Source organism: Homo sapiens, chromosome 14 (genome assembly GCF_000001405.40).
Source record: "Homo sapiens chromosome 14, GRCh38.p14 Primary Assembly".
Classification (NCBI taxonomy): Eukaryota; Metazoa; Chordata; class Mammalia; order Primates; family Hominidae; genus Homo; species Homo sapiens.
The window spans coordinates 80,166,772-80,190,017 of NC_000014.9; the positions used below are offsets into that span (position 1 = coordinate 80,166,772).

General features: G+C 37.4%; 1 long non-coding RNA gene across 1 annotated transcript; it reads right to left on the bottom strand.

Annotated features, from left to right (window-relative positions):
• Positions 1-642: 642 nt before the first annotated feature.
• Positions 643-22,085, bottom strand: LOC105370593 (uncharacterized). Its single transcript, XR_944072.2, has 3 exons — positions 21,865-22,085; positions 4,469-4,588; positions 643-1,321 (listed from the first exon to the last, which is right to left on the bottom strand). It is a non-coding gene; the product is annotated as an uncharacterized LOC105370593 (long non-coding RNA).
• Between the last annotated feature and the right edge of the window lie 1,161 nt (positions 22,086-23,246).

The window sequence follows — 23,246 nt, forward strand, 5'->3', positions numbered from 1 at the left end:
TCATTAAGGTGCTACCAATCAATAAATTGAGTGACACTGGATGGTGGCAGAGACAATTAAAACAAAGTTACTTGGTGAGATATTTATCTGTCATATGGGCTGATTTATAAGCCTTCTACAAGAAGTAATTTAACAGCCCTTTAATAGAAGGAGGCTTGATAAAATACCAGCAGATGGTATTATGGGTAGTGACCCAGGCAATAATGATTTTAGTAATGGCACGTCTTATTTATTTACCTGTACTCAAAGAGTAAACTTGCGTAGATGCACACACACACACACACACACACACACACACACACAAAGAGAGAGAGAGACATTGTCTTCTGATGGACTAGACTGCCTAAAAGCCTTTAAGACAGGGTAAAAACATTCTCCTTGATTAAATAATCAAAATATATAAAACTCAAGAAAGAAGCAAAAAGTGGAGATTATAATGATACTAGTGATAATGATGATGATGGTGATAAAATCCAAACAGAAATTATTCGGCGCATCCATTCTGACCTGCCTTGGCTTTCCATCAAAAAGTACATGACATCTTCCTAGAGAGTGTATCTGTGTTTTAATCATTTCCAGTAAGTTTCACAGAGATCTTGAGTTATGCACTGCCAAAAAGGATGCAGGTAAATGGCTTATTCCTTCAAATAACCCTTTGGTATCCACGCACAACACAGGCAATGTACAAAAGCAGTAAGGGCTGGCACAGGACTCAGACCAAATAACATCTCCTTTACTAAGTGATTTCGCTTGATCTCTATTGTCTCAGTCACATATCCAGCAGCTACAGCCAAGTGTTGGGTAGATCCCTCTGAACTTGTGGGAGTAAAACTGTGAATGGGAGTTTTCCTGAAAAGAAAATGACCAGGTCAAGTGCAATGACATTCTGCCTACCATTTTATTTTAAGTATTGGTGGAGCATGAGGCCCAGAAGTCTGGGTAGAACCCAGAGAGTCAGTGAGGAACAGGAGGCCGAGACACAAGAGGGGAAGTCCACAATGACTGACTTCCTTGGCCATTCTGGACGATGAGATTAAGGAGTTTCAAGAACCCATTCTCTCTTATGCCCTGGCCAGAGCTGAGTCAGTTTTAGGCACCATCTATGACCGATCTTTCGCAGTGGAAATATCAGCACATTATTTCAGGAAAGTTGAGCTTGCCTCTGACCTCTGCTCCTGGTGTCCCAGACAGTACTGCTTGCCTCTGGCCATGATGAGAAGGTCTATGAGCTCATTTCTGGGCAACATTTCTATGGAATAGAGACAGGGTCCACTGGGGCTAGTATGTGAGGGAAATTTCAAGGCCTTGTTTCCTAAGAGAGCTGGGAAAGACATTATTAGGTGTTGAGACGAGTAGCCTGTGGGCTTTTTAAATAAAATAATTTTTAAAAAGCAAAATAAGAATTTTCCCAGGAAAACTTGACTTGGACATACTTTCTGTGGGTGGAACAGCAGACACCAGCACTGACCTTGCTGGCCAGCTTTGGATAAGCAAAACTCATCATCTGGGCCCTTAGTAAGCACCATGAGTCCCCGTCCTGCCCCTGGCCTCCCCTGTATACAAATTCTAGGTTTTCCCTCCCACAGGGTATCCTAGTCTGTCCCCATTCCCACTACCCTAAAATAACAAGCTGGTTTTCTAAGCTTTCCAATCTGGTAGCCACTAGCCACGTGTGTCTATTGAGCACTTGAAATGTTGCTAGCCTGAAATGGAATGTGCTGTAAATGTAAAATATGTAACAGATTTCAAAGATCTGGTACAAGAAAGGAATGTAAAATATCACATCAAAATGTTTTTATACTGATTACATGTTGAAATGAAAATATTTTTGATATATTAGGTTAAATAAAATATATTATTAAAATTAATTTCAACTCTTTTTCTTTCCTTTTTTTAAAATGTGGTTACTATAAATTTTAAAATTACATTTGTGGCTTGCATTTGGGGCTCATATTATATTTCTATTGGACTACACTGTTCTCTGTTCTCAGGACTCTTATTTCTGATATATCAATTTACCCTTGACAATGACAAGGGTGAACGTTCTCAAATGACATATTCGTTTTTAACAGGAATTAGTGGAAAGAGGTACGCGAGAGAACAGGTAATTCCCTTTCTATTAGAATATGCTTCCTTCTTGTTCGTTCTGGCAAGCTCTTATTCATCCATCAAGACCCAGATCATATGTCTCCTCTACCAGGAAGCTTTCCCTAACTCCCCCAGGCAGAGATAGTTACTCCCTTTTGTACTGTCTTGGCACTACAAATTTCTACCAGAGCACTCTAAATTAAACCATCAGGCTCCTTTAATTTACATATCTCCCCTTCTAAGCAGTGAACTCCTCCAAAGTTAGAACTGAGTCTTACTAATTTTAATAACAATAATGCTGTAATTATCATATGAAAATGTCTTCTCATGCCTCTATTTATTCCTTTGTAAGTTTCTACATTCATCCTTACATAAAGCTTTCTAATCCACTTAATCAGCACAGGAATCTCTCCACACCCCTCGTTCTTATTCTTCAGATAGTCCATAATGATGAAGCTTGGAGTATGATTTCACCTGATGAACTGCCAATCCATCTATTGGCAATGTATTCATCTAGAAATAATTATATCAATGACAATTGAAGACAACTTTTTAACTATGTCTTTCATTCTCCTGCCTGTGTAAGTGCCCTGGGTTTACCTCTCCTTGTACATGTTACCTGTACTTCTATCTGGGTCAGCTTTGTCTCCCATTCTGGCATTGTTCCCCCACTTTCTTTCTTTCTAGTGATGTTCCCAGGATTCTGTTGTCAAGCATCTCCTCACCCCGCCCCTGTGAATACTTTCCTGCTTTGAAATGCAATGTTTATTACATTGTTTGGGTGTTGACTCTCCTCAAAGCCAATAGAATATGGGATTCATTAGGAAGATGATAAAACTGTGCTCCTAAGACTCAATTATTTAACAAGGATTATATGCCCTTTCCTGTTTCCTGATAACTGCCAACCTAAAAGCTGACAAGTCAAGTGAACCTTCTAACACATCCAAACCAGGGTGTCCTTTGGATTCTGTCTGTAGTTTTGTTGGTCCCTGTCATGTCTAGAGATGTTCTGTGTGTAGAAAAAGTCAGGACTTGCTTAGATGGCTGGAGGCATTTGCCTTCTGCATCAACACCCCGTGAGATATCAGGAACAGCCCCCTTGCTCCAGCTTTCGGCATCCCCCTTTCTAAGGGGTGCTGTGTGAACAACCCATACCATTTGGCTTTTTAAAAGTAGGTTCCAGCTTTTGTAAGCAACGGCCTCAAAAGAGGAGACAGCCTCAGTGTTCTTGTGAAAGGGACATGGTTAATACTCCATCTTCAATTATCATTGAGATTATAAAAACAAACCAGGTTGCCAAACAGTCATCACTAAGTTAGTGAAAACAAACAAAAAGTCATTTTGAAAAGTATCAGACTTTCTTTGGTCTTGAGAAGGTAATAACAAGAAATTCATATAATTTCTAAAGAAAAAATGGAAGTTTAATTTATGCAATCCTCATCTTTTAAATATGAGATTGCACAATTGTGGAACTTTAATCCTTAGCTTCTTTGTCTCATTCCTATTTGTCAGATCCATTGGAATAGTTTAAAGATAAAAATTTAGTCTGCATGGAATACTCCCAGACCTCCCACTTTGCTTGAATAACATCTATCACTTCCTCCCTTCTCAGCTTGGACACCACTCCTACTGAGAAGTATTCTCTGATCTCTCAAGATGGATAAAGAAGTTCACTTCTGTGTGCCTGGTTTTCAGCATAATATCCTATCCACATAGGTAGTCAAGAAATGTTTATTGAGTGAATTAATGAAAGAATGAATGGTAGCAAAAATACTTGACTTGGAGATCAGGTTCTAGCTCTGCCATTTATCAAAGTTATTGACCTTTCTGAGTCTTGTGTGCTCAACTATAAAATGGAGATAACTGTGTCAACTTCATAGAGCTTTCTGAGGGCAAGTAAGGTTATGGGTGTGAAAGTATTTTGCAAACTGAAATGTGGTACAAAACTTGAAGCAATAGATTGAGTCCCTTTCTATTTTACCTACATAGATGCTATAAGGGCTTAAATATTTAATATAATGCAACATCTGGGCACATGAGCCAAAATTATACGGGAAGCAGATTGGAGTCAGCCTGCCAACCATGTACTGTGCTAAGTGCAATTCCACAGTGAACTACATGTAATACACAGCTGATACGCAGAGAATTTCTCCTGTGCAATTCAGGTAGCCCAGCTTAGAGGTCCCTAGAGCCACAGTGGTGCAAGCACTGGATAAAAGAGACGCTTCATGCCTCTCATCACCTGTGACTGTTTCCACAGAGAAGAACAACTGAATTTTGAGACCCGAGGTCAGAGGGACAGCTGTGATGCACTGTTTAAATGTTTTAATAGCTTTTTCAAATTACTGGGTTGAGTATAATGGAAATTTTATTACCTTACCTTCCCATGAAGCTATTCAAGTGATGTGTCATCAGAAGAGTGAAAAGGATGCATATAGAATCTTGTTCACCATCCTCTGAATTCATCATAGCATCTACAATGAGCTAGAAGAAGGACTGACTGTAAAAGAAAGGAGAGAAAAAATTTAGTTAACTGGGAAAATTTGAATTTGAACCTTGTACTGAGGGGCTTGTGAATATGTTTGATAAGTTATTGTTGATCTTATTTATCAGTATTTAGGAGGTAGGCACTGAGTTGTCAAACAGAGCATAGTATGAGGATAGCTGCTGAAAGAAAACCAAGCCAAGGTTCCTCATCCCAATCTGCCATATGTTGTCTGAGTGGCCTTGGCAATCTGTATAAACTCTCGGGAGAGATGAAAGGTCAACATGATGCAAATCTAGTAAAGTCAAACATTGAATCTTAAAGATAAACGATTAAGTTCTCCGAAGTGTAATCTGACCTGAGTGTCTTTGCAGTTGTTACAAGGAATAGAGACCTAACTAGCTTATGCAAAATATTTACACTATAAGAAAGCAAAGAAGATTTCACTGACAGCTGAGAGAAGACAAAGAAGAGAAGAGCCACACAAGGACAAGAATGTGAACTGGAATTCCAGGAGTAGGGCAACCTTTTTGTTTCTCTTGGGCACCATGGGCATGTGCATCTTTGCCTCTCCTATCTCTTTTGTATCTTGATTGGCCTCCTTTGGTCACATATGGTCCCATATGGCATTTTAGACAATGCACCATCACTACTCTCTAGTGCAATCTGATCTAATCCATGGCCTGCGAGCCGCATGCAGCCCAGGATGGCTTTGAATGAAGCCCAACACAAATTCGTAAACTTTCTTGAAAGATTTTTTTTTTTGGCAATTTTTTTTTGGCTCATTGCTATCGTTAGTGTTAGTATATTTTATGTGTGGCCCAAGACAATTCTTTTTATTCCAACATGGCCCACGGAAGCCAAAAGATTGGACACCCCTGCTCTAATGCCTGGAAACATTGGTTCATGTACCTCCCCTTTGATCCAATCAGCTATAGTCATTATATACAGGGTCACACAATAAAAGAAGGAAGAAGGGCTCTGTGCAGAGGCAGAGGTACAAAAGTCACCTAAGTGGTTAAATCTACCCTTTGAGAGCCATTCTGGTCCTATGAGTGGTGCCGAGGATGTGGAAAAAAGCATGGTTAAAGAGGAGCATGAGGACGGTGGTCTTCTTAATTTAAGAACCACACCAATAAAGCAGAAAACCAGGGAATGCCAAAGTGTGATGCATCTCCTCCCTTGTCTTGGTGTTTCCTATCACAGGCTACTAAAGGAAATGGTGATTAGAGTCTACTGTGAGTCACAAAGGGACAGGAAGATTCCTCAAATGGACCTCTAATTGTGGTTTGGGAGAAAGCCTTGTTAAAAATCTGTGCCTAATTTTTCCCTTACCTGCCAGTATGTTCAGCATACTAGGACCAGTAACCAAAATATTAAGCTATTCCTCGATTTTAATTCACCTTTCATTGCTCTGCTTGTTGCCTCAGCTTGCTGTCTACACAGGGTTGAATGGCCCCTGTGGACTGCATGATTCATGGCCAGAGTATAAAGAAAACTTCATATTGTGGTCCACCCATCTTCTTTTCCCACACTGTCATCTTTCACCACAAAGAGCCTTAGGCCAATGAAGTGGACACTGAAACCTATCTCAACCCATATTTCTCCTCCAAAACAACCACCTCTTAACCATCACTTGGGTCAAGAGAAACACAGCAACAGCACAGCCCACTCTTGGGAGGACCAACTGGGGAAGAGGGCTGAGCAAGCCTTGAGAAGTGGCTTCAGCATCTCAGCAGTGTAGAAGTGGGGTAGTTCTAGGAGAGGGGAGCTCTGCAAACTCCTTACACCCTATGGGAAAGGCCAACCCTCTAAAGTCCCAAGCCCAGAGCAGGGACCTTAGATGTTAGGGTCTAAAAGCAGTTCTGGCTGGAAATGTAAGGTGATTTACCTAAGGACTCTTGGACCTGGGTAGGATCTTTGGCATTGGAATTAGAGCTATGCTTCCAATCTCTTGGCAGGGAAGGAAGCAGGCATGGTGTGGGTCACTGGCCATAGAGGACTGGGCACTCTCTGTTTTTATTTTTATTTTTGCCCATGTGCTGTCAAGGAAGGGAAGGATGATTCAATGAGATCATTACAGGTCCTAAAGCAGACTTTCTAGGTGCAGTTTAGTTAAAACGTAAGATATGATTTGCACCCATTATCTCGTAAAAATCCTAAATGTGTGATGCCTCTTCAGGATCAGAAATATATTTAAAATCAAATTCATCATCGTTTTTTCTAAACTTTCCCCTCTTCTTGCTTCCCTTCACTACCCACCCCTGCTATGAGTACCAATTTACCTCAATAACTTTGATTCCATATGCCTTTGGCTTCTCTCTTTCCTGTACTCTGTGTCATTGAATACTGCCACCAAATCCCTTTGATTGTTCCTGTCTCTGATCAAATGTCTCTTCTCTTTCCTATCCTGCAAAATGTAGTTCTGGCCCTTATTACTTCCTGTCTAGACAATTACAATAAATTCCAGTCAATTTTCCACTTCAGCCCAACCTAAACAATAACAATACTTCTGTCTTAATCTTAAAACCTTCAGTGGCTCCCCATTGACTAAAGAATACACCCAAAACCCTTACCCTGGTATTCAAGTCCTTCACCACTGCAGCCCCAGCCAAACCCTCTCCATGACATTTTTTGTTTGACTGGTTTTTTTATTGTTATTGTTATTTTTTAAACAACCTCAGGTAATTGCAGGAAATTTGTGCAGAAAATTGTGACAAATGATATAAATCTCATCCCTATTTTCTCCATTCAGAGATATTTTGTTCTATTTACATGTGTCCTTATTTACAAAAGTGGAAACGTCCTGCTTTCTTTCATTTGATAGTATATCACAGTAGCATTTTTCTGTATTTAAAAATAAGTTTTGCTTGTTCTATATCATTTGCTACACTGACTCAAAAATAAATTATCTGTTTTTATTATATAATTAATCTGTATTTATTATAAAATGTAAGATACAAACAAGACTACATAAGTAAACAAGTCAATGTGTTTCACACTTGGATAACATAGAATTCACCATTGTTGACATTTTAGTATATAAAGTTACTCCTAATTTTGTTTAATACTATATCATAGGATTTATCTGAGGTTATCTTTTCTTTTTTTTCTCTAGTGATTTGGAAGGTTTACATAATGTTTTCTTTCTAGCAATGATGAACTAATTAACTTCTATCTTAAAAAAGATACTAGAAACTAGTTTCTCTATTAGAATTGAGAATGAAAAGTATCCATTTATTCCCCCACTGCATTACATTACATGATTTTATGTTATTACTCTTTCATTTCTTCATCAATTTCCCAGTTTTTATGATATAATCTCAGTTGAGTTCTTAAAGCAAATTACTATCACTTTTAGAATGTAACTTCTATTTTAAAGATTATTTTATATGCAAAATGTTTTATCACCTCCAGGTTATTGCTAAATAGTTTTAGAGCTCAATACCTTTTTTTTTTTTTTTTTTTTTTTTTGAGACAAGGTCTCACTCAGATACCCAGGCTGGAGTGCAGAGGTGTGATCACAGCTCACTGCAACTATGACTTCCTGGGCTCAGGTGATTCTCCCACCTCAGCCTCCCAAGTAGGTGGGACTATAGGTGCACAACACCATACGTGGCTAATTTTTGTATTTTTGTAGAGAGAGGGTCTCATTATGTTGCCCAGGTTGGTCTCAAACTCCTGGGCTCAAGTCATCTGCCTGCCTTGGCCTGCCTCCCAGCATTCTTATTTTTGAGTTCATGATTTGTCTTAATTTTCACTTGCCTTCCCAGAATGTATATGCAAGTAATTTTTTTCAGGACGTATACACTTATAAGATATGTCCCAGCCCCTGAATATTTGAAATATATTTTCCTTGCCCAAATATGTGTACATTTATATAAAAAATAATATATATATTGTCTTGGGTAACAATTCTTTAAAATTCAAAACACTTTTGCTCATTTTCCTTCCTCTTATCTTTAGTATTTTGGAGAAGTGCAATACCAGTCTCATCTTAGATATTTTTCAACCTAATTAGCTTCTGTGCTTTTAAGTTTACTTCATCTTTGATTTACAAAAATTCAATGAGCTATAAATAGGTGTTGGTATATTTCTATTAAAATTATCTGAATAATTGGTGAATCCTCTCAAAGACTTGTCAGTTCAGAACAATTTTCTTTTATTTCTTTCTTATTCTTATTCTTTCTGTTCGGCTACTCTGCATTTTATGTGTGCATTTTTTGTTTTAAATTTGCACTCACGTGTGGATTTTTTTTCTAAATTTGCATTTAATTTTTACTTTTTTGTCTCTCAAGAATTCCAATTTTTTAATTTCCTTGGTTCTTGGAGAAATGTTCAGTTTCAAACATCTGAAACAGTTTTTAGAGCACTCAATCAACTTTTCACTGCCTCCTTTTAAGTATTCATTTTTGAAAATTCTTATAAAATCTTTCTTGATTTCAGAATATTCATTTTTCACAACTGATGCTCAATTTTTATACCTGTGACAACTTCTTGAATCATGTCAATAATAGGAATGAGAATACTTCTAATTTTTTTCTTCCACCCAAGAAAAGATAGCACCACCCTTTTGAATTGCAGCATTATTTTTTATGTGTGTGAGGATATGTTCCTATTTATATGTCCTCACAGCTGAAGAAAGAAAGTCAGTCATACTTGGCCTCTGCTAGAACAGTAGAAGCCAAAGGAGATAAGACTTCCTCCATATCCCTAAGATAAAAACCTTTGATCTTCTAATTATTTTCACTTCCTGTAACTTCTCACCTAAGTTGGCCCTTCCTCTAAATTAAGTCCAATCAATATGTTCTACCAAGTCCTCCTTTAATCTCTACCTCTTCAAGGACAGAGTACCTGTTCTTCATAGGAGGCAAAATGTTAGGTCATTCTTCTATCCTTTATTTCATTTGTCCTTTTTTGAACTTTATCTGAAATTTCTTGATGTTTTTGGAAGGTAGATCTCACAATTTATACTTTTACCACATTTTTGCATGACCTTGACCTATTGGAATCTGGTGATGGGGAAGTTGTATACCTCTGTGAATGCCACCATTCTTTTAAAACCTTGCTTTCCAATCTTTTATCTCTTCCATAATTTTCCATCAATATCTTTACTATATGCCCTATGATTTCTGGGAAATATGCATTTTCTCAAGCTGTGTTTTGCTCCAGGAAATCATTCCTGGTATTTCTTCTCAACCTGGCTCTTCCTATGGAAATAACCAAAACTCAAGCAATTTTCAACTAGAGGGTTAACAAAAGTGTTCATGAATGAGGTAATACAGAACTCTCTCCATGTGTGCTCTCATGCTGTTGGTTCGTGTATATTAAAGTCTACCATGACTGATAGCCCTATATGGTTATATTTTATTTCCCCAATTACAGAATTTAGTCCTTGAGAATAGGAATAATGCTTTGTTCACGTTTATTTCCTCTATAAGGTGTAAACAGAAACTTTTACATCGCAAGGGCTCCAAAAATAGTGTAAGTTTAGGGTAAGTTTGGCTATCATCTATTATACACTCCATATCAGTATATGTGGTACTTCTAGTCCATTCAACAAATATAATACAAATATAAAACAAAAATAATACTTCACAGTGAAGTATTATTTCTTTTTGTAAAAGAGGTATCTGAGGCACAGACAAGATTAATAACTTTAAAGTCATCCAGTTAGTGACTGAAATGGGACTCACACCCAAGTCTGATTCCAAGGTCCATGTGATTTTCTGCCACACCATTCTGATTCAATTAAATGTTAATTAAGTTGGGATGACCTCACCAGGCAGAAAACTTGTAGAAGAAATAGAATTGGGTTAGATATGAAACAACATTCCTCCCTCACCAAGTCCACTTTATAAGTTCTCTCATTGATTAAAAGTGGGAAATAAACCCCAAGGTTTCTACTGAATTGCTTGGTATACTACTTCTGACACCCTTCCTAGATATCTCTTTTCTTCTCCTAAATAATTTGACAATTCTCAGATTATAAGCTACGTAAAATAACTTAGCCATATTACACCTTGAAAATCTGAAGTCAAATTTGCTCAAGAATATCGTTTTCCTCATGTCACAACTACAATGTCATCCTAGAACGCTAAACCCGCACATATTGTGACCCAACTCTATTAGGCTTCATCTACCTTTTATAAAGGCAGCAGAAAAATATTGTACAACAACTGTTGTTCACTGACCAGAAAAGTAGGAATTGAAGATGATAAGGGCAGAAAAATCCTTTTAAAACATAAACTGACAGCCCATGGGCCAAGCCCAACTGCTGTTATGTTTTGTTTGGATTAAACAGTATTTTAAAGCTATTTGACTTCATAGCCAATATTTAAAAGTTTAAAATTCACATAGAAATCAGATTTCTGGCTTCTTTTTTAAAAAAATATGAAGATCTGATCTCACTGGACTTGCATTCCTGCATGAAAACTATTTACTGGTTATATTTTATTTCCCCAATTTAAGTTGAGTAGCAGCAGGGATAGCTAGTCCCTCCAACTGTGGGCCAGTGAGTTTGGAGCATACAACATATGTGAAGTAAATACCAAATATAGAGAATTAAAGCTGGGAGAGATCTTAGCAAAATTAAATCAGCCTTTTTATTATAAATAAGGAAATTGGGCCAGAAAGGTGATATGATATAACCCAGGGTCACATAGGTGGTAAACAGCAGAGCTACAACAAAAAACTAGATATTCTAACCACTCAGGCCATCATTCTGTTTATTGACAAACTTCATAATGAAACAAGGATCTCTCATGAAATTACATTATTTAGTAATTTAAAAATGTGAAGTGTATTATAAAATATCTGCCTGCTGTTCTCATGTTTCTTTGGCCTCTCATTTTTCTCTATTTGCATTAGCGCTTTACCTTATTGAACACCAAATAAATCCTTTGCAATAGCAATGCCAATTTACTGTGTGACCATATATCATTATATTCTGAAAATGGTATATTGTACAAGATCCAGCTTGTATAAACATAAGTGTTGGTCCTTAATATATATATACATTAATTTGTTCACTTATTCAACAAATATTTATTGAGAACCTATCATGTTCAGGGAACTATATTGGAAACTCACTAAAGATAAAAAGAATGAACACGACAAATAAGATCTCTGCCTCCATGGTCATAGATTAGCAGTACCATAGTCATAGAATCGCCAACGGTGAGTAACCTAAACATGTGTTTCTCCAGATCTAAAGCAGAATTTCTTTATAGTTTATAGAGGACAGCAAATATAACACACATAATTCATGATTTTTTAAAAAGTCAATATTACTAGTGGCAAATTAGAATCAGAGACTCAAAGTCTGTAAATTAATGAATCCAATGATGGAACAAATTCTCTGGAACTGAGTTAAAATACTTTTAATAATCTACATTTGTAGCCAATAATTCGTTTCTCTGTTTGAAGGTTAATTTTAAAGTATACTTCTGATGCAAGAATATTAATATTTGAAAAAAACATTCTTGGCCACCCATAAAGTCTAGAATAAATTGTCTTCTAAATATGCATGATGCATCAGACTTCACTGTAGTTGGTGGCAGCTGTAGGAGGAATGAAGTGTTTTTTGTTTTTGTTTTATTTATTTCCCAGGGAACAGTCCTCTCTCCGCAAAATTTACTCTAATGAACATGTATTAAGCACTATCAATCAGTCACTGTGTTTATCACTGGAAGAATAGAAAGATGACTACAAAATACTTACTTTCCTATATTAAATGTTTATCAAAGACAGGAATTAACACAGATAGAAAATAGTTAATGCTTAGCTACGTGTTGTATTTTTGTTCTAAAAAAAAAAGCCAGAAAATAAATGTAATAGATACCTTAAAATGGAAGAAAACAGTGATAGAAGTCAAGGTGGGCTTTAAGGGGGCATGAGCATTGAGGAACAGTAGTAACTGCAGAGGAAGGGGTGAACATTTCAGAGCACTGCAAGATTAAAACCTCACCAGACATAGAGAAATAAGTTTTTTTATTATCGAAATTAAACCCTAATTATACTTCCAAAGGGGAAAGAAAGATGGCTAGAATAAAATAACCAATTTGTTTTAAAAATGTAAAAAAATGAAGTTAGCCAGAAGAAACTAAAGAAAAATAAAGAAAAGGAAGAGGGAAATTAGTGGCTTGGTTAGCTAGATTCAGGTACTGAGATAATGTCATCAGAAAACCCTCTCGCTCAGCTCCCAGCTCTGCTTTTTTGTGTTATCTTTCATTTCATTCCCTAAATTCAGCCAACAATGAAATCTCTCCTTTCTTTCCCCCATCCATACCTGACCCATATATTTAGGCAATTGATTATATTTAGTCCATACTTAATTAAACAATAATAATAGATAGATTTAATAGATATTTTTTGTTTTGAGATGAAGTCTGGCTCTGTTGCCCAGGCTGGAGTGCAATGGCACTATCTCAGCTCACTGCAACCTCTGCCTCTCAGGTTCAAGCAATTCTCCTGCCTCAGCCTCCCAAGTCACTGGAGTTATAGGTGCCCACTACCATGCCAGGCCAATTGTTGTATTTTTAGCAGAGACGGGGTTTCACCATGTTGGCCAGGCTGGTCTCAACTCCTGACCTCAAGTGATCCACCTGCCTTGGCCTCCCAAAGTGCTGAGATTACAGGCATGAGCCACTGTGCCCAGCAATATCATATTTTTGTTATTCCTGTGAAACTAAGAACCTTATGGAAATGACCAAATAATGTATGTCTTTTGTATAATCTGTAGCAGCTTGCATATTACCTTTCACAAAGCAGATGATCGATATCTACTAGTTGCATTAAAATTATATGGAATTAATCTTAATTGAGGTAGTTAAGACCTTGTATTCTGGGTGGGAATTAGAAATGATCATTTATAATACAGGCATTGGGACAAAGAAGAGTCAGTGACAGACTGCATGAAATACATTAAAGTTCATTAATCATTTCTAGTATTTTCAAGGTTTACATATGAAAAAAGTAGGAATAATATTGACATGTTATAATAACAAAATAGCAATGTTTAATGGGAGAATCAATTTGTGGAAGAAGATAAATTTTATTTTGGACACCTTGAGAGCTTTAACAGCTAATAAAATATTGAAGTTGCTAGTTCATATTTCCAAATGCCTTGGGAAGTAGAAAGTAGATGAAAGTTGAAGTCTGAAGGTATGGAGTAGGATTCACTGTCATAAGCATAGTATTGATGATGCTCATAATTAGGAATGGATACCATTCCAAAGGAAGGAAAACCAGCATTTGACAATATGATTGGCTACATATTCTAGGAAAAACCTACCATAAACCCTAAGAAATTCTGGATACAATAAAATAAATAGAATTTAAAATACATTAATGAGCAACAAAGAAAGTGAAAGAAATTCACGGTTCAAAAAGGCTAAAAAGAGCTTGAAACTTAGTGTGAGAAAATGCTAAACTCACAGACTGTCCAAGGGCATCTCCTGAGAGCAGGAATCTAGATGCTTGGGTTTTTTAATGTTTACAACCAGGGAAAGTGAAAAGCCTTCAGTCTGGCTCAAGGTAATAAGTCAAATCTGAGCCTTCTGGAGAAAGTTGGGTTACTTGAAGCGATATTCCCTCAATAAAAAAAAATGTAAGCCAGAAAAGATTTCATCCGCTGGGAAAGAGAGGAACAGAGGAATCAGTTTGCCTTAGGTCTTGGTAGAAAGAAAAAATGAGCCTCCCTTCAAAATTCATAATGAGGCAGGCATGGTGGCACACGCCTGTAATCCCAGCTACTCAGTAGGCTGAGGCAGGAGAATCACTTGAACCAGGGAGTCAGAGGTTGCAGTGAGCCGAGATCGCACCATTACACTCCAGGATGGGCAAAAAGAACAAAACTCCATCTCAAAACAAAACAAAACAAAACAAAACAAAAAAAACATAATGATAAGCCTGCCCTCACATGGGTTGGAGATTTGAACATTTATTATCTTTGCATTCTAGTAGACCACAAGCAAAATTAATGTTTAAGGGTCTCCAGGCTGATAGTAGCCCAGGACGCCTGGCAGAAGAAACACAGATCCTGTGTGGAGATACGTTTTCTTAACCTAGGTTCCTCAGGATCCCTATAAATTAATATCAGCCAAAGGAAAGCTTACAATAGAAAATTATCAAAAACTCAATTAAATAATGTACTAAAAATAAGAGCCAGTAGAAAAATAACCCATGGTCATCAGATATTGAAGAATCAGATACAAATTATTTTAAAGTATGCTTTAAATTTTGGGGGGGGGGGGTGAAAGATAATTAAAAATAAGAACAATAGAACAAGGTGTTTTCAAGAATTCACCAGGCACATTTGAAAAAGAACTCAAAATAACTTGTATAAATGAACAATGTAAATTTTGAACTTCAAAACTCAGCAGATTGGTTAAACAATGGGTTAGACACAGCTGAAGGGAGAATTGAAGAACTTGTAAAAAAGATCTGAAGAAACTAAAAACAATGCAACATCTTTGAAATTTAAAAAAGTGTAAGAGACTTTGAGAACAGAATGATCAGGACACACATACATCTATTTGGAGTTTACAAAGGAAAATAAAACAGAGAAATGGAGAAGAGTTGACACAAAGAGATAATAGCTTTGAAGCTGGGGGTGGTGGCTCATGCCTATAATCCCAGCACTTTGTTAAACTGAGGCATGCAAATCACTTGAGCCTAGGCATATGAGACTAGTCTGGGCACCAATGGTGAGATCCTGTCTCTATAAAAAACAAACAAACAAAAAATTAGCCAGGCACAATGGCACATGCCTGTAGCCCCAGCTACTTGGTAGGCTGAGGCAGGAGGTCACTTGAGCCTGGAAGGCAGAGGTTCCAGTGAGCTGAGATAGCACCACTGCACTCCAGCCTGGGTGAAAGAACCATGGCCAGGCACGGTGGCTCACACCTGTAATCCCAGCACTTTGGGAGGCTGAGGCAGGCAGATCACCTGAGGTCAGGAGTTCAAGACCAGTCTGGCCAACATGGTGAAACCCTGTCTCTACTAAAAATGCAAAATTAGCCAGGCATGGTGGCCCACGCCTGTAGTCCCAGCTACACAGGAGGCTGAGGCAGGAGAATCGCTGGAAGCCAGGAGGCAGAGGTTGCAGTGAGCCAAGATCACGCCACTGCACTCCAGCCTGGGTGACAGAGCAAGACTCCATCTCAAAACAAAAAAAAAAAAGTGACACCTTATCTTAAAAAAAAGAAAGAAATAATAGCTTTGAATTTTTCAGTGTCTATGACATGTATCTTTAATTCAGAAAGTACAACAAACACCAATAAAAGTAAGTAAAAGAAAATCCACCCTTGATTTATTTATTTTATTTTTTATTTTTTTGAGACAGACTCTTTTTCTGTCACCCAGGCTGGAGTGCAGTGGAGCAATCTCAGCTCACTGCAACCTCCGCCTCCCAGGCTCAAGCGATTCTCCTGCCTCAGCCTCCTGAGTAGCTGGGATTTACAGGTGCGTGCCATCACGCCCAGCTAATTTTGGGGTGTGTCTTTGCCCAAAAATTAGTAGAGATGGTGTTTCACCATGTTGACCAGGCTGGTCTGGAACTCCTGACCTCAGGTGCTCCACTGTCCTCGACCTCCCAAAGTGCTGGGATTAAAGGTGTGAGCCAACACGCTCAGCCCCACACTTTAATTACATGGTAGGTAGTGAAATTTCAAAATGCCAGTGACAAAGTGAAAACCTAAAATGCAGCTGGTGAGAAATATATGTGTGTGTCTATATGTATATATATATATGTGTGTGTGTGTGTCTATCTATGTATAAGTAGATAGATAGACACACAAATGGGTAACAGACTGTCAGCAGATTCTCATCAGCAATCTTGGAAACACCAGTAGAGTAACATTTCCAAAGGGTTCAGGGAAGATAATGGTCAATCTAACATAGATTGATATAATATATATAGATATTATATAGTTATATATAGATACAACCAATAATTATATCTTTGCCTAAACTTTCATTCAAGAACAAGAGTAAAATAAAGATATTTGTAGACAAAAAAATAAAATAGGAAAACTTTAGTAGCAGCACTTTCTCACCAAAGGAAGACTTGAAGAATGTTTTTCAAGAAGAAAAAAGGTCAGCTCACGAAGTAGGATTGATATTTGAGAAGAAATGATAAGCAAATACAGTGATAAATATGTGGGTGAATACAAGTAATGACAGGATGTAAAATAATTATAGTAATGTGAATAAGATAGGACTAAAATATTGTACCAAGATATGTTAGAAGATATGGAAGATATTTATTGAGAAAATTAAAAATTTAATTGAAAAGCATCAAAGAATACCTAATAAATGTAAATGTATACCATGTTCACAGATAGGAAGATGGAATACTAAATAGATATCCATTATCTCACAAAATTATGTATAAATTCAGCAAAATTCAAGTTAAAATGCTAAAAGTGTTCTTTTTTTGGAACAGAGAAAGCCAATTCTAAAGTATATCTAAAAAAGTATGGTGCCATTAATAATCAATATACTCCTTAGAAAGAAAATGTCAATGAGAAAAGTTAGGGAAGTAATTGGCTATAACAAAGCTTATTATAAAACTATAGCATTAATTTTGAATCCCATGAAACTGACTTTTTACAGGTCCGAAACAAATATTGGCCATTTCTCATGATTTAAGCTCACAATAAAGATGTCATATGGTATTGGTACAGGAAAGACAATAGATGAGGAAAATCCAGAATAGAGTGTATAGGGACAGATCCGTGCATATTTGGGAACATTGTCAGAAAGGCCATTATAGGTCATTGGGAGAAAATTAATACAGGGTACTCCATTAATTAATTACCTGATAGGAAAGTAAAGTCAAATTAGGTTTATTACCTAATACAATAAACAAAACTAGCTGCACATGGGTAAAACACATACTTATAAAAAGCAAATATTAAAACTGGTAAAAGAAAATATAGGAGAAAGTCTTTACAAATATCTATTTTCCACTCCTACAGTAATAAAATTTTCATATGGGCATATGGCTATCCAGAATAAAGACTACATTTCCTGACCTTTTTTGCAGGTAAGCAGCATCACTGGATGACAAAGTACTGGCCAATGAGATATAAGTGAACATATCCATAAAGCAGCTCCCAAGGACCTCCTTAAAAGAGATGGCACATGTACCCTAAAACTTAAAGTATAAAAAAAAAAAAAAAAGAGATGGTACACACACACTTTGCTCTTTTTTTCTGTTCCTTTGTCTACCTTTCTGCCTAGACTATGAGTACATAAGGGGCAAGAAGGCATCATAAGATGAGAGCAGAGAGCTTGAGAGAGCCTAGATCTCTGAAGACTGTATGGAGCAGAGCTCCCACACCACTCCAGATTGCCTGGCTTGAGACTTTCACATGAGAGAAAAAAATAAGCTTTTTTTCTTGTTTAAGTCACTATTATTTTAGGTCTCTATTCCTCACTGTCAAACCAAATGCTAACTGCAATTTGCAATGACATTTCGTCTCTCCTTATTTGATTTTCTTTTTTTAAAACCTGAAGTTCTGATTTCTAATCTCCTTACTTCAAAATAAGTGCAAGAGAGAAAAGCAGAATACATGGAAATAATTTTATAGAAACATTCATTTTTAATACACTAGATGAGAAGAGAGAACAATGAAAGAGAAAAAGCTGTAAGAGAAATGCCAAATGCTATTGAAATGTGAAGAGTGAGGACTAAAAAAAAAAAACAAATAATAACTCCTGCATTTGTCTGGATTGCAAAGACATCACTGGTGACTTTAGAGAGCTACTTCCAAATAGTGACCAGGAAGCCAATGAACCAACACAGCATTCATGGGATTATTGGCACGTAAACATTATTTGGAGGCCTTCCAACTCAACACAAAACCAGGAGACAGACTCGTTTAGTGTTTCTGAGCTACAGGTGTAACTAAGTATACCGGAATTATCAAAACACAGAAATAGCCCTTACCCTCGATAAATTTTTGATGTCTTTTCCATAATCATGTTACACACCTAATAGGAGCATGCCTGGTCTACTCTATCTGGTCACTAGAATGGCAACTGCCAATTCAATTGGAGTTCCATCTATCTCTCTCCTTAACTATATGAAGGAATCCTTTTTTTTCCCCTAGGCTTTAGAAGGTAACCATTGCATACCAAGGAATGAACTGTAAAGACTATTATTGGCAATATATTTATGTATGTTTATATAAGTGTTTATGTGTAATGGAAAGTGACAAATCTCCTAAAGATATAACAAGAATATGAGACATATCTCATTCACCAATCTCTGTACAGAGGCCCTGAGCACCAGAACAAAGGAAACAGAAGTGAATGCAGGCCACAGCTTTGAACTTTGCAAATTATGAGTACATATTCTTTGACATATCCAAGGAGTTGCTTTTGAAAATGTGTGCATGAACTGAGAACACATATACCAGAAGAAAACTTTCCTTAAGAAGTAATGATAAAGAATGAATTTAGGGGATTTCAGTCATTACAACATATAATAGCTTATATTCATATATCCTTAAAGTATAATTAGAAGCATACTTAGCTGGGCGTGGTGGCTCATGCCCGTAACCCCAGCACTTTGGGAGGCCAAGGCGTGTGGATCGCCTGAGGTCGAGAGATCAAGACCAGCTTGGCCAACGTGGTGAAACCCTGTCTCTACTAAAAATACAAAATTAGCCAGGCATGGTGGCAGGCACCTGTAATCCCAGCTACCCCAGAGGCTGAGGCAGGAGAATCGCTTGAACCCGGGAGGCGGAGGTTGCGGTGAGCCAAGATTGCGCCACTGCACTCCAGCCTGGGCGACAAGAGCGAAACTTCATCTCAAAAAAAAAAAAAGAAAAGAAAAATTAATTAAAAATACATTTTAAAAAGAAGCATACTTAATTTGGTAGATTTAGTGATTCAGTAGTAGCGTTGACCAAAAAAATTAGTGTTGGGTTTGATGAAGAGTGTAGCTATTACAAAAGCGAGGGAGGTTTGTCTCCATAAGATGATCTTCTTGGAAATAGAGGACTAGCTTCCCCTATTGCCATCAGATGGCAGGAATTTTTTAAATTCCCCTTAAATTTACTTCACTTTACAGAAACTTTACTACGTCAAACGTTTACAATGCATTCCTTCTTCCCTTAGAATGAGTACAGCACTTAAACCTCAAACCGTAAAGGTAACAAAGGTAACCTATGAGGTATTAAAACAGAAACAGAAACACAAAAGGCACTAAAACCTGCCTGGTGGCTGAAGCAGAAATGCCTGATGAGTAACTTTCCTGCCACATTAGGTGAGGATGCTGCCTCCTATGGCAGTGAACACCTATGAGGTGGACACCTATGAGGACACGTAGACACAGGATTGCCTCACACGTTTCTTTTCTTTTCTTTGAGATGGCTTTTTGCTCTTGTCCCCCAGGCTGGAGTGCAATGGCGCGATCTCAGCTCACCGCAACCTCTACCTCCCGGGTTCAAGCAATTCTCCTGCCTCAGCCTCCCAAGTAGCTAGGATTACAGGCATGCGCCATCACGCTGGGCTAATTTTGTATTTTTAGTAGAGACGGGGTTCCTCCATGTTGGTCAGCCTGGTCTCAAACTCCCAACCTCAGGTGGTCTGCCCGCCTCGGCCTCCCAAAGTGCTGGGATTACAGGTGTGAGCCACCGCACCCAGCCACCTCACACGTTTCTAAAGTGGATAAATCACGATTTTTACCTGATTACATAAATTGTATTAACTATACAGTGCACTCCATGCCATCCCATCTCTATGCTCCTTGAAAAAAAAAGTTGCCTTTTTTGACGGGAAAGGAAAAATATGTAGTAGGGGAGGTCGAAGCCAGGAGAGAAAACAGAAGTCAAATTCCCTTTTCTGAAGCAGGAATGGAAGAGGATGGGATCATGCTGTCACAGAATCCTCTCAGCCAAATCTCCCTGGTTTAGACCAGTTAATGTAACCACAATTTATCAAGAGGTACCTGGAATCTCTGCTACTACTCTGGAAGACCTAGGCAGCTTCACGACCCAGAATTGTTCCTCCTGAATATTTGAACTACAAAATGCAAATGTCGGCATGTGCTCCAAGTGGAGCTCTGCAGCAGGAATCTAATTTATCTTCTACAGGTACACCCCTTAACCCAATGTCTAGATGTGCAGCCTCACCCAGGACATCTCATTAACCTTACAATCATCGCCTGCATTTTCCCAGTTGAAAGTTTTCAACTTTTTGGACTAGTCTGTGGCGGGGGGGGGGGGTTATTCCATGCCTCTGACTCTGTCTTCTTTTCCTTTTGGATCTTGCACAAATCAAGGCCATTATAGTTGACTAAGATGATTAAGCCATAGTGAATCCTCACCTATGTAAATCCAGAAAAGAATTGTGAATACCTTTAGAGAAAGTCCTAATAGAATGCCTTACTCTAGGCAATTCTATTATATAACTTCCTGAAATACTTATTTTAAGGGCTGAATGCTAGCTAGAAGACTCCCTTATTTTACAAATGCATTTTTTCTGTTTCTCCTCCAATATTTTTCTCAAGGTCCTTGGAGATAAAGAGCAAACCTTCAAGATTTTAAGCCTCAGTACATTTGAAGGTTATGTCAGGAACATTAGATATCTTTATGTTTGGATTTCTTATTTATCAACTACACTAAACTCTCATATTGTAAGAAACCATATTTTATATTATTTGTGTATACACATTATAATGTAGTGCCTTACAATAACTAGTGGCTTATCTGTGAACTAATGGGTGCTCAAAACATTCATCATTGGTTGTATTTTAGTTATTTCAATGTCTGTTCATTCAAGAGGGAGAAATAAAGAAAAAATTAAAACATAGCTCATATCCTCAGTTCTTTTACTGAATAGAATTCTGCCTTGTAAGGATGATTGACATAGTTTAGTGCCTTTGCATTTTGACTGATTTGTCCTCTTTAGTCACAACAACGGATACTTAGTAAATAATTGACTTTCTAAATGAAAAACCACCTATCTTCTCTATCTAAAGCTTGCCCATCCTTCTAGGTCAATCCAAGTCCCTTTAAACTCCACAACGTCACCTCTGAGAGCTCTATCCATAGGGCCCTTCCTTCCTCTGGGCCTGTCCTTATCGAATGTATATATTAATACTAATCAAGGTATTCTTATATTCTTATTTAATGATTCTTATTAAGGAAGTTAAAAATAATGGCCACTAAGACTTCTGGATTTCAGTAACTCTTCTTAGATTGATAAGAAAGGTTGAGACATAGGACAAAACACTAAGATTAGAGAGATACGCGAATACAGGGAGTCAAGCTTACCAGGAAACTTACAAGTGGAAATCACTGCAGGAACCATAGCCTGAGTTGAAAAAAAAATCTGAACTGTAATTAACAAATTGCTAGAGGCTCTGTGTGAGCAAGTCTGAGAGTTAAAAATTCCAGAAGGACCTAGTCGTGGGAGGCTGTCGTATTTTTCTGAGTTTTGCCTCCAGGAGCTTGACCAGATTCTTCTTAGGGTAAGTACTTGAGAAAATCCCATCCAGCTTCCTGCAGGGAGAGGAGAAAAAAAAAAATTGAAATACACTAGAGCACTCTGTTCTTTTAACAAGGCCTGTCCTCAGGAGAAACTAGTTAACCAGAACGAAACCCGCTGGGATACAATCAAAGCCGAAATGACCTGAGAGAAGAGAAATACCCAACTCCAGCCAGCTCTAGCCTTCCACATGGGAGAAGGGAAATATTCAACTCTATCCGATGGTAGCCATCCTGTCCTATCTAAGAAAGAAGAAAAATATTGAGAAACACTTGTGAAATTCATAACCCAGAGGCCTGGGGTCACTGAAAGACCTAATCTCAAGACTGTAGAACACTTTTCCTCCCCTTACACCTTACCATCACATTACTAAAGGTCTAGTTACAACAATTCCATGTATCTGGTATGTTATGGCCAGCTATCAAAAAAAAAAAAAAATTACCAAGCATACTAAAAGGCAAAAAACACAACTTGAAAAGACAGAACAAGCATCAGAAGCAAATATGCCAGGGATCTTGGAATTATCAGACCAGGATTTAAAACAAGTATGGTTAATATTTAAAGGCCTTAATGGATACAGTAAACAGCATGCAAAAACACATGGACAATGTAAGCACACAGACAGAAATCCTAAGAAGGAACTAAAAAGAAATTCTAGAGATCAAAAAGACTATAACGCAAACAAAGAATGTCCTTAATAGGCTTATTAGTAGAACAAATACAGCTGAGAAAAGAATCTCCGCGCTTGAGGATATACCAATAGAAACCTCCAAAACAGAAAAGTAAAAAAAAATAAAGACTGAAAAAACCCAAACCAGAACCGAATATCTAAGGACTGTGGGACAACTACAGAAAAATCTAACGTATGTGTAATAGAAATACCAAAAGGAAAAGAAAAAGATAAAGGAAAGAAAAAGTATTTTAGACTAATAACTGACGATTTCTCCAAACTAATGTCAGAAACCAAGCCAAAAATTCAGGTAGCTCAGAGAATACCAAGCAGGATAAATGTCAAAATAAAAAAATTAAAAAAAAAAGAAAGAAAGAAACCCAGCTAGTCAACCAACAAACAAAAATCAACTACACCTGGACATATTATTTCCAAATTATAAAAATATCAAAAAGAAAGAAAAAGTCCTGAAAGAAATCAGAGGGAGAAAAAAAAAAA